Source organism: Homo sapiens, chromosome 18 (assembly GCF_000001405.40).
Source record: "Homo sapiens chromosome 18, GRCh38.p14 Primary Assembly".
Lineage (NCBI taxonomy): Eukaryota > Metazoa > Chordata > Mammalia > Primates > Hominidae > Homo > Homo sapiens.
The window spans coordinates 45,898,128-45,911,076 of NC_000018.10; the positions used below are offsets into that span (position 1 = coordinate 45,898,128).

General features: G+C 40.2%; 1 protein-coding gene across 21 annotated transcripts in view, besides 1 other annotated feature; it reads right to left on the reverse strand.

Moving 5' to 3' along the window:
- EPG5 (ectopic P-granules 5 autophagy tethering factor) overlaps positions 1–12,949 on the reverse strand; it is a 166,749-nt gene that overhangs the window by 97,547 nt on the left and 56,253 nt on the right. For all 21 annotated transcript variants that reach the window (XM_047437710.1, XM_047437706.1, NM_001410858.1 and 18 more), the window contains 5 exons: positions 12,394–12,615; positions 9,831–9,954; positions 5,846–5,990; positions 2,869–3,040; positions 1,277–1,439 (listed from right to left, as the gene is read on the reverse strand). In XM_047437710.1, coding sequence (XP_047293666.1) covers positions 1,277–1,439; positions 2,869–3,040; positions 5,846–5,990; positions 9,831–9,954; positions 12,394–12,615 — 826 coding nt within the window. The remainder of the gene's footprint in view (positions 1–1,276; positions 1,440–2,868; positions 3,041–5,845; positions 5,991–9,830; positions 9,955–12,393; positions 12,616–12,949) is intronic.
- Positions 64–1,263: an enhancer, noted in NCBI's record as "BRD4-independent group 4 enhancer chr18:43478156-43479355 (GRCh37/hg19 assembly coordinates)". NCBI's record gives its function as "activates an origin of replication core promoter dependent on BRD2, P300/CBP, MED14 and CDK7 cofactors, and independent of BRD4, by STARR-seq in HCT116 cells {active_cell/tissue: HCT116}" and the evidence as "EXISTENCE:reporter gene assay evidence [ECO:0000049][PMID:35650434]".

The following is a 12,949-nucleotide window of genomic DNA, read 5'->3' on the forward strand; positions in this document are numbered from 1 at the left end:
GACAGGCAGATTGCTTGAGCCCACTAGTTTGAGAGCAGCCTGGGCAACATGGCAAAATCCCATCTCTACTACAAAACCCCATCTCTACTTTAAAAAGAGCACTGGCTCTGGAGCCGGACTGCCTGGGCCTTTCTGGCTGTGCCACTTACGGGCTGTGGCACTTCAGGTGAGCAACTTAATTAACTTCTCTGTGACTCTACTTCCTTACCTGAGAAATGAAGATAATATGATAAAGGCCACCTTGCAGAGTTGTTGTGAGGATAAAATAACTTATTTAAAGTGTTTAGACAGGGCCTGGCATAAAGTAAATGCTATGGCACACTAGCTTCAGCGAAGCTTCCATTGTGAAGTGCATACCATATTGCAGATCCAAATTCTGCCTATATTCCAGTGCAAGAAGGTAACTCTGAGAGGCAGTTCAAGTTTCAGTCACATTGTTGCATGTCTCTCCTCTGCCTGTCAGCAAGTTCCACCCAACTAATCTGCTTCCCATATATCCTTCCCACGTTCATCTTCAGGGGCTCCCTGCCATGTGCAGCAGACAGCCAGAGTTCCCAATGATGGTGCACACCAAGCTTTCCAATGTGAATTCCCACCAACACCCCCAAAACACTTGGAACGGGCTGACCTAGCCACCGACCCCTAAATGACATCATGGCCACTCCATTTCCAAATTCCTTCTAACTGTATCATCACCAAAGTCTTTTAATCAATTGAGACCGGACGCGGTGGCTCACGCCTGTAATGCCAGCACTTTGGGAGGCCGAGGCGGGTGGATCACCAGGTCAGGAGTTCAAGACCAGCCTAACCAACATGGTGAAATCCCATCTCTACTAAAAACACAGAAATTAGCCGGGCGTGGTGGCAGGTGCCTGTAATCCCAGCTACTCGGGAGGCTGGGGCAGGAGAATCACTTGAACCCGGGAGGTGGAGGTTGCAGTGAGCCAAGATCGCGCCACTGCACTCCAGCCTGGGGACTCCGTTTCAAAAAACAAACAAACAAAAAAAGGAATCAGTTGAAGCCCTCTCTCTAGGAATCTTCTCAATGATTCTGATTTTTTTTTAATTCCTATTTGAATATCTGTCTTATAGGACTCATCTGGTACCTACAAAAATGTGTGATTAGCTCTATGAGTGTTTTCATGCCCTGCAAAACTAGTAAATGTTTGGGACACAGACAGTGTGCTATATATGTCTTTCAATCTTTCTCATTGATAAGCCAACATTACGGACTCAATTAAAATTCTCTCAGTTCTGAAGAAATTTAAACACTTACCTGAACCGTGACAACTGCGGCTCCTTGGCATTTCTTACCGCTGCTGCCTCTGCACTCCAAATGTAGTGTGGTCTGTTCTTCACGATTCACATACTGCTTTGGCATTGTGTCTAACAGCTCACCATCCAGAGCAACCTGCTGAGATTCCCGAAGAGCTGCGGTTCTGAAAAACATCATCAGGAGGTAAAAGAAAGTCTTAGGAAAGGTTATATGATAGGTGATAAAGGCTTCCAGTTACCCACAGCCAGCATTATAGTGCAGCAAAAGACACATAAACCATAGTAACAGAGGACCAAAGGTTGTGAGCCAAGACTTACCCAAATCATCCCCCAGCAGAGAGGCTAAAGAGAAAGCTAAGAAATGAAAGAAAAGCCTATAGAGAAGTGAGACAACTTGATAGCCACAAACAAAGCTCCATTTAGAATCCATGTTATACCAACAGACCCTACAAGAACAACTGAGAATTCTATCCTAACTTCATCACCCTCAAGGGGTGCCTTAATTATAAGTACCAATGACTTCTTAGGTATTAGCAACTCAAAACGAAATGTCAAAGACCAAGAAAGCTAATCGCATACATGGGGTGTCAAAACTGGTCTAACGGTATGTATCATTACATTAATGGGCAGGTGCTTATATGTGCACTCAACACACACGCAACAAATGCCTGGACCAAAAACAGACAAGGAAAAAAATACTGATAAGAAATTGATTCATGGCCTGGCGTGGTGGCTCACGCCTGTAATCCCAGCACTTTGGGAGGCCGAGGCGGGTGGATCACGAGGTCAGGAGATCGAAACCATCCTGGCTAACACAGTGAAACCCCATCTCTACTAAAAATACAAAAAATTAGCCAGGCGTGGTAGTGGGCGCCTATAGTCCCAGCTACTCGGGAGGCTGAGGCAGGAGAATGGCGTGAACTCGGGAGGCTGAGTTTGCAGTGAGCCGAGATCATGCCACTGCACCACTCCAGCCTGGGCGACACAGCAAGACTCTGTCTCAAAAAAAAAAAAAAAAAAGGAAATTGATTCACATAGGATTTGTAAAAGTAAGGCTCGCTTACTGTTAATGAAACAGACTTACTCCACGTACGCTCCTTCTCACAAGATCTCAAGTTAGATCAAAACCTTAAATGGTTGATCATATTGTATCCACCTTGTGAACTCAAAACAATGACTTTTCCACACTTCAATCAATATTTATGTCAATTTCTTAAAGAATATGGAGAAGTAGAGAGTACAGCAATGAGAAAAGAAAGGAACTCTTACTTCACACCTTTCCAACATCATCTTTCCAATATCAGAAGATCTCTTCATGAGAAGCATACGAAAATCTTAGCTGGCACTGCTGATGCTCAGAAATGCCACCACAGGAAATGTGAAATTGATAGTTGGTGAGAGTACCACATAATTTCGATGTGAAATTATAAGACTTGTCACAACTTGGTTAACCAAGTGAACCGTCTGGGCCAGGTTGGTCAAACTATCCTCATTGTAAAAATGCTGACAAGGAAGCCACTCCAGGTAGCAAATTATCCAGGCTGTCAAAGCCACCAACATGGGAACATGATCCGTGAGGCTGCATGGTCTTACCTGGCCTGCTGTTGCAACAGATTCAGGTCTGTGCACACCAGCTGGGTGGCGTCCTTCTGACTCAATAGCACAGCAGAGGAAATAACTGGCACAGGAGGCTTCGTCGGGTGCAGAGCAAGGGGAGGCTGGGGAGCCTCATGCTTCCGCAAGTTACTTAAAACCCTTTCTTTAGCTGAAAGAAAATTAAGTCATATATACTGAGCAATCAGGTGAATTAGCAGGAGAACAGAAGCATGTGGTACAATTCAGTAGAATTCCTATCCTCAAAAAATTTATAGTCTTACGATAGTTGAAGAGTTAAAGCTCATGATCTTAAATTATTACCCTAGACAGGCCTTGCATGACATGCTAACAAGTTTGGACTTGATATTAGTGTAAAGCTACTATCTAGTGCCTTACGCTAATATCACGTGGATCTAGTGAACACCTCTATGCAAGCTTGAATCAGATGGTAGCTATCATCTGAATAATGGTTTAGGTAAATGGAGTAGGTCTGGAGGCAGGTCACCCAGTTAAGGTTTTAATGCCATCATCCAGAATTCAGAGGAATAGAAGAAAAAGGAATAAGCGTTATGGAATATAGCCGAGTCAAAAATCTGAAATCAGGTCAAGGTTTGAACAGGAGGACTGGATGCAGTAAGAGATAAAATGAATGAAGACATATGCATAAGCTCCTTCAGCACTTCTATTTATGCAGTCATATAGTCCATCAGTCATTTATTCATTCACTCAACAAATGATTTATGGAGTCCAAATAAGCAATCCTGTGCCACACACACACACACACACACACACACACACAAAGGTGAATCTCTACCATGCAACTTTGCCCTAGATTACACATGATCTCATACTGTTTAATCAAATTCAAATGTTTGATACTTCTAGACTTAGTACAGAGCTGAATACACAGTAGATATCCAATAGATTCCTATCTTCCCTCCCTCTCCCTTCACCACACTATACACATACCACACAGCAGGTGGGGACTGAATAACATGAAGAAAAATGCTGCTACCTACCCAATTCTTTTCAATAGCAAGAAACAGAGGAAGGCAGTGGTCAAGGGAATTTCAAGTCAGTAAGTCAAGTCAACAAGTACTTAAGGGACTACAGTGAATTTCCGATTACATTCCAGATGTAACATTCCATTTTCTATTCTTGTTGAGAAAAATTAAAGAAAAATTAATAGCCATGACTTTACTTGGCATAAGGAGACTTGTATTGTTTGTACCCCAAACAGATGGAATTCAACATTTCAAATAGGTCAAGTACAGCACTATCCCTTATAGTTAGTGTTTTTCCACTAGAACTAACTACTCTTTGCACAGATGTAACCAAGTTAGGTATTCACCACTGGATAAGACTTGTTACTATTTATGTTAAAGTTCCTTTCAAGCAACATAAGAGGCCATGATGCTAAAGGAAAACTGGGGGCTCTTTCAAACCCAATATAAGTTACCATAAAAGAAAAACCAAGGTATTTTAAAAACAAACAAACAAAAAATCTAAATTCATATTTAACAGTAATCACCACTCTGGACCACAACTGACAAAAATATTGAAGCCAATAAAACAAATTTAGTTTAAGAAAAAGAAATTGCTATCACAAGGGTGCTAGTGAAATTTTTCCTACAACCAATCATAACCACAAATTAAATCATTTGATATAATCATCAACTAATCTCTTATATCTGAGAAAAACCTGAAACTCACTATTTAGAAGTATAGGCCCTAATTTTGTTTAGAAGTACAAGGTATCACCAGACACAAGAGGTAGAATAATGAGTGGTGAACAGCAGGTCTCTGGAGTCAGACGGCTCTGCCCAATAACCAGCTATGTGGCCCATGCAGGCAGGTCACCTAACAGCTTACAAATTGGGTTTCTTATCTGCTCAATAGGGATAACCTAACAACATAGGGTTTTTGTGAGGACTGAGTTAATGCATATAAAGCACTGAGACAGTGCTCGGAACAAACGAAGGGCTTCATAAATTACTAGCTTAACTCCAGCGAAAACAATTCGTATTTTAGGGCAGTGTTCAGGCAACATAGAAACACTATGAATGGAAGGGCATGAACGGAAATCATTTAATAGTTCCCAGATCTGTTCATATATTTCTTCTTCTTAACAAACTTTCAGGAATAGAAAAATGAGAATCTACGTTGTTGGCTTGAGGGCAATTTTCATCCCTTTCTCTATATACCTTTCTATATCATTTAATATTTAAAATTAATATATATCTTTTATAATCAGAAAAAAAATTATTGTTTCAAGAAAAAGTGCAGGGAGAGGAAATGTTGGAGGGAAAAATTTTAGAGCCTTAGAAGAAACCAGCCAGCACCATTTTACAGATGAATGGCGTGAAGTCCAGAGAAGTTCTTATTTGTCTCTCTTCATACAACTAACGCGTTTTGGTTAGTGGCAAGCTGGAATAAGAAGGTATTCTGCATTTCTCTGAATCACCTCAGTGTCTTCTTACACTATATATTGTAATAAATATTTTGGTCAACAATTGAATTTACAATGATATGTCCTATATTTTTGAAATATAGTCAGTAATTAAAATTAATAGGTTACCCCAAATATCAGCAACTTTATAGGTTAAATGGGCTTTTGTGGCCTGATAGAAAACTAACTGGTAATTTATACCACTGTTTCTCTAGAAAAATGTACTGGGAGAAACAAGTAACTTAGAAACTTCAGGAATCTGATTCATTTGTATGGTAAGGGTTCTAGGTACAAAGGAAAAGAGTTTATAAAAGAAAAAGACAGACTTCTGATTTTCAAAACTGCAAAGTAATTACATTTACAGTTGCAATTTACACCATTGTGTAAGTCAACTGAAATCTCTTTTTAAAGCACCAGAGGAAAAATGAACACTGGGGGAATAAAGTATGTCAGCCTCAACCCTCAATGGCTCTGATTCAATCATTCATTCACTCATTCGAAGGGGCAGGTGCTCCCAGGACCCACCCAGCAAAGGATCAGTGAAGTCCAGCTGCACGGACAAACTGCAGGGTGTGGAATGGGACTCAAGCTTGGCCTGTGTCCACAGACCAACAGTCTCCTGAAACTCATGATAGATGCGCTCCATGTTCAAATACTCCATCCACAGATCCTGAAACAGAACGACAGTACTTTAACTCTGACAGACAAGTCATAGATTCACATATAAAACTATGTATTTAACTATAAAGTGAACCAGTAAGTTTCAACACGAAGTGGTCTACTCCAAGTCCTCCACCATTAGGATAAATTGCCATTAAAATGACCACTCTAACAATCCCTGCAGTAGCTGTAAAACTTTTTTGATTGTGTATCATGATTAGAAAAAATTTTAACAGCCCTATATGTATATTTGTAAATTATATACATACACTATAAAGCTAATACATTATGTATACTATAAGACATAGGTAAAAAATAGCAAATGTTAAAGAGGTAAAAAATAAAATGTTAAAAAATAATCAAATCTGAATTAGATCAAGACACTAAATCCAACTATCAATTTACAGTAAATACAGGGGACAGAAAAACATGTTAAACTACACCGTGAAGATACAATTAGCAAAATCCATACTGTGGGGAGCCTCTATGGACAAACTACTCAGTTTCTTCAACAAATAAATTGCAAGGAAAAGTAAAGGGATAAGGGGAGGACTTGTAGATTAAACAGACTTATAAGACATATCAACCAATCACAACATGTGGATCCTGATTTAAACTATGAAAATAAATAAAAAAAAAACTTTTATGACATTTATGAGAAAGGTGGAAACTTGAACATTGACTAAATATTTGATATAAAAAATTATTTCTAATATGTTTAGGTATGCTATTGGGTTATGTCATTTTTTTATCCCTATCTTTTAAAATCTTCATGCATCAAGTGCTCTCTGGGATTACCTCCAAGATAAAATGGAAGAGGAAGTGGATGGGCTATAGATGAAACTAGACACATGGCATATGTGGGGAGGGGGAGAAGAGCATGCCCATTATACTGCTCTCCCTATTTTCCTATAAAATGGAATTTTTTCATAATAACAGGTGTCAAATAAGTAAATAAATAAAATGAGAAAACAATAAATATAGTAGCTCTAGTAACCTCTCCCTACACTCCCATGGGCTGTCTTGCATATTCTGAATTATATATATTTCACTTTGGTGATCACTACACTTTAGAATGGGGGACTGCCTTTAACAACAACAACAAAAAGTCAAATTATCAATGAACTTTAAATAGTAATAGCAAGTGAGCAAACAGGGACTATGGGTTTGTGGACCGTGATTTTTTTTGGATTTTAAGTGTTCTAAAGGCCCAAGGATCCCTCTAAACCAAAAAATGTCCTTGGCTTCTCAATAAGCATACTGCTGTGAAGTCCCAACTCATTATTTCCAAACCAACCTCACAGTCCAAGGCATTCCAGACTCAGAGGAGGAGCTCCAATGTAATCCTGATCACAATCCTGAATTCTACATGCAGCTGAGTGTTCAATGTGCTGGGCTAGATCCTCCTATTGCATACATGCTCCTTTAAATAGGGTCACTCTGTCACTTTCTCTGCCTTTATGCCAAGTAACTGTTAACAGAGGCTAATGAATAGAGCAACTACTAGGAATTAATGATAGGTAAGCAGAGACATCTTATAAACCATAAAAATACAAAACAACCCTGAGCTTGAATTACAGATCAAGAAATTATACATCAAGCACCAAGCAAGGGCTGACTTAAAAAGAAAAAGAGAGAGAAAGCAAGCAATTAATTCTGTTGATGCTGAGGAACCAGGATAAATCTCAGAGAACCAAGAAAGCTATGGCTAATTTTTAAAAACACTGACCAAGTACCTACCATGTACAAAGCCTTGGATATGGATGAGGGGTGTCAAGCATAAAAAGATGAGGATGGAACTGAACTCAAAGGATGTCAGGACACCATGGTCTCATGTGTATTTTTCTTGTTTCTCTGGCCCTATACTCTCAGTCTTATTTCTCTGTGCGTTAAATGCTGTTATCTCTCAATGTTCCATCTTCAGTCCTCTTCTTAATCTACATATTCTCTTACCACTAAATCCACATATCCGACTTTGCCTCATTCCTGAATTCTAGATATATACCTCCCCTTCTGACCAACTCCTTGATAGAGAGCTCTCGTTGAAGCCCCTCAGGCACCCCCTCTTCCAGGGTTTATCTCTGGGGGACAAAGTCAGAAATTTGGAAGTCTTTGGGTATCTGATTCTTCCTCGATATATTTTTAATTCATCCATTTGTTTAATAACTGCTGCTATTTCAATAGTTCTCCAAACAAAGACTTCAAAATACAAGCCAAATTATTTAGAAAAGTATACATGGCCCTTAGGGATTTCATTCCTACTCATCTCTCTGGTTTCATCTGCCCCGCCTCAGGTGCTATGCCCTACCCTGCACCTTTCTGAACATGCCCATCCCTTTCTCACCTGCTATATGTCGCTGCACATACTGGTCTTTCTGCCCATTAACATCCTCTCTGCCACTCCCTAACACCATGCCTTTCCTTTCCATCTGCCCAACTCCCATTTGTCCTTCATGGCTCAGCTCAAAGGTCACCACTCCAGGCCCAATCCAAATCAGGGGCTATTCCCCTATGTTTCCATAGTACCCTGTGCATTCCACTCTCGTAATTTTTTTTTTTTTTTAAGACAGGGTCTCTCTCTCTGTTGCCCAGGCTGGAGTGCAGTGGTGCAATCTCAGCTCACTGCAACCTCTACCTCCCAGGTTCAAGCGATTCTCCTGCCTCAGCCTCCTGAGTCGATGGGATTACAGGCGCCCACCACCATGCCCGGCTAATTTTTGTATTTTTTAGTAGAGATGGGGTTTTGCCATGTTGGCCAGGCTGGTCTTGAACTCCTGGCCTCAGGTGATCTACCCACCTCGGCCTCCCAAAGTGTTGGGATTACAGGCGTGGGCCATGCACCTGGCCCATAATCTTGATCACAAAATGTAATAACTGTTTGTTTAGTCTCCTGTTGGCCAATAAGCTCTTAGGAGGCAGGGAATGTATCAGATTTCTTTTTGTATCTTCGGTACCTGGCACTTAGAAGACACTCAGTAAATACACACAGAAGGCAAGGAAAGCAAGAAGAAAGAAGGCAAGGAATGAAGGAAAGAAAACAAGAAAAAGACACCTACTGGAGATAAAATATACACATGATGTGAAAGTAGGAGGGTTTAAGGATCCAAATGAAAGTGTTTCAACTCTTAGAGTTTCCTAAATCCCATCCTGGTGCTGGGGTCAATACTCAAAAGACTGCAGCCCTAGAAAAAAAAGAACTAGAATAGAAGAGAATTATCTTCCCCACTTTTTCCCTGTCCCCAAGATGGCTAGAAAAGCTTAGAGAAAACTGACATCACAAGTTTTGGCCTGAAAAAGGGTCACAGACATCTTTGAGTGCCTGGGGGAGAACAGCTTAGGACATACGAAGACTGAAATCAAGTGGTTCCAGAAGAGCAATCAGAACTGTGACAATGACAAGTAAGCACCTCCAAGCCAAACAAAGGTGAGCTCCTGATCTCCTCCATGCAACCAACCTCCCACATCACATATGGATCCCTACAAATTCTTACAAATTCTTACACTGCATGTAAGAATGGGAGTAGAGATAATTGCTTAAAGGTATTCAGCTACTAACAACTTCCAATTAAAAAAAATATACAGTCAGAGGAAGGTTATGTTTATGAGGTCGTAAAAAGCCCTAGAACAAGCTTCAAGCCTTCAGGTAGAAGGCACGGTGGGGCTGGAGATTCAAAAGGGAGTATTCCCTCCATATAATCACTTAGATACTGACAAAACCATAGAAACAATGACCATCTGAGTGACTACCCATTTTCTTATCAATAAATTGTTTTATTATGAATATGACCAGTTCAAATTACATTCAGATATGCTAAAAAAAAAAAAAAAAAAAGGAGGGCTATAATTTCACCTGCTGATTCTGCATCACTTTTGCTAGCCTGTGAATATCATAATGCTTTGGTAGAGAAGGGATATAGGTATCTCCTTTTTGAAAATTCTCATCTTCTAGCCATAATATATATACATTGAAGAGCCTAAAAGATAAAAACATAATTATACGAAACATAAAAAGATGAGCATACAAACAAAGCTTCTTACATCTCTAGGAACACTGGCACCCCTACATAAGAGTAAAGAAAGCCCATAATACAGAAAATGTGGCCAACAACCACCACGGCTCCCAGAGAACTCCTGGTCCAGCAGGGGAGGCACGTCACAGATTATTCAAATATGATGCGATAATTGCTAAAACAAAAGGTATGAAGAAGGGGCTCTGACAACAATTCTTAAAGTAGATTTAAATACAGTACACAGAAAAAAATAACTGGAAAAGATGATTTTTACCACAGACCTGGGATCTGAATCTGGAGCTTTTCTTTCCTAGGCAATTCAGTCAGTTATTTTTGCTTAGAAAAGCAAAAATAATACATTCAAATAAAAACATTTTCAGAGAAAATATTAAGAGCTATTTTAAACTTATGCATTGTAGGAATTTTCCAGCTTTAGGCTCAAGAACCATCTCCCACCTCAGAGAATCGCAAATAAATATCACAGCATGTGTGTACGCCCCTCTCATCAAGAAGGAATAAAATCAAATCAGACTTAAAAAAATAAAAGTTCTGGCTGGGCGCAGTGGCTCATGCCTATAATTCCAGTACTTTGGAAGGCCAAGGCGGGCGGATCACAAGGTCAGGAGTTCGAGATAAGCCTGACCAACATGGTGAAAGCTTGTCTCTACTAAAAATACAAAAATGAGCCGGGTGTGGTGGTGCACACCTGTAATCCCAGCTACTCAGGAGGCTGAGGCAGGAGAATCACTTGAACCCGGAAGGCAGAGGTTGCAGTGAGCCAAGATTGTGCCACTGCACTTCAGCCTGGGTGACAGAGCAAGACTCTGCCTCAAAAAAAAAAAAAAATTCCAATTTTCCAGTAAAAACCTTTTAAAAATACAATACTTCCTTCATTTTTATTTTGCTTTTGTTTTTACCAGCAGTGCTAGAAAAATAGTCGGCAAATACACAAATTACTGGGTAGGGGACTGGGAGATGGTCTGGCCTGACTTTACTCAATAAAGTGGAAAATTACCTCCTTTACCTCTGCAACAGCCAGTCCAGGAAGACAGACAAGGACAGGGCTTTGGGGTTCTTACAGGGAAGAGGTTGCTAAGTAGTTCTCTCCTCCAGCTTCTGGCTCAGTGAAATAGATGGCCACTTTATGAACACATACCAGGAGGGGGATATAACAGAGGCAGAAAGGAATATCAAAGACTCTCTTGGCTTATCTAAAATATTCACAGAGAAAGCCGTCCACTGGTTAAGGCTGGTTAAAAATAAGTTCTCCTTCAACAAGCAACATAAGGGAAGAAATCATTCTGGAGGCTGACAGAGAGTCGTAAAAGGTTGAGGGCAAATAAACCTAAGGCCTCAGTGCTAGATGAAATGGGGACCTCACCTAGCTATTGTGTATTGAGGATTAATTCTTAAGAGCCATTTTTATTAAGTCTTATTTGTAAGACTAGTATTTGATTTATATCAAACTTATAAATGAAAGGGGAAGGAATAGTGTGAAAGGAATCCAAACCTACTTCAGAGTTCTTAACCTTTTAGAGGAGGCAAATATTGTACCCTGATTTTATAGGGCACATATTTTTGGGAGATTACTAGACCCCTCATCTCAGGTGGATCCCTGAATCCCGTGAAGGATCTATGAACCACACTTAAAGAGCCCTGCCCTGGTCATTTGTTTCTTTTGAAGAGCTATTCTAAGCTACGTGTGGTGGCACACACCTGTAGTCTCAACTGCTCAGGAGGATCACGTGAGCCCAGGAGTTTGGGGCTGAGGTGCACTATGATCGTCTCACTATAATCGTGCCTATGAATAGCCACTGCATTCCAGCCTGGGCAACATAGTGAGACACTCCTTCTTAAAAAAAGAACTATTCTAGCAAGGTTTTTTTGTAACAGAGTCTCACTCTGTTGCCCAGGCTGGAGTACAGTGGCATGATTATGGCTCATTGCAGCCTTGACCTCCTGGGCTTAAGGGATCCTCCCACCTCAGCCTCCCAAGTAGCTGGGACCACAGGTGCACGCCACCAGGCTTGGCTAATTTTTTTTTTATTTTTTGTAGAGATAGGGTCTCACTATGTTGCCCAGGCTGTCTAGCAGGCTTTAATAGTTGTTTACCTGCTATGATAAAATTTGGCTTATTTCTATTTTTACGTAAAGAAGTAGAAGAGGATTTATCGCTCAGACTACAGGCACTCGACACAAGTACATCCAAACTGTTGATTCAGTTCTCTTGAGGAACATAAAAGAGAAACATTTCAAGATGCAAATCTATATCAAAGCCACCTTCCATATTCAATCTAACCGTGTTAAGAGAATAACATCTAGCAGTTTGTAACACAGTTAACTGCTCCAGCATAGTACCTGTGCTGCAAACAACAATGTAGGTGGCTAAATAACCATACTCACCTCACCAGCTCCTTGTGCAGTTCTGGTGAAGTCAGGTAACCAGGGGTGCCAGAGTGGCTCTCTGGCAGCCCTTCACTGCCCTCTGCTGGAACACGGAGGGCCTTGCTTGCAGCATGGTGGAAGTCAGCCACCTCGGTCAAACGTCTCTTCATTTCTTTCAACAAATTGATATGAGCAGGACTTTGAAAAAACCTTCTTCCAATACAACCATCTATGGGTAACCTTAAAAAACACAAGCACAGATCTATAACCTTTCAACACAAGATGTACTTTCTGTATGGCATAAAATAGCAGTTAATTAGCAAGGCAATTTACTGTGATTGTGGATATACACCATTAAATTAACACCTATTATTTCTACCTCAAAGATTATTTTGATGGTCCAACAAGATGGTGTATATGAAAGTAGTTTTAAAAAGTGTGAAATGCTACACAAATTTAAGACATCACTACTTAGAGGTACAGCATAAAGATGGTTTCTATTCTTGAAGAACTTGCAATCTGGCAAAAACTAAAACAGAAGCGACTAAGAATCTATCTATCTATCTATCTATCT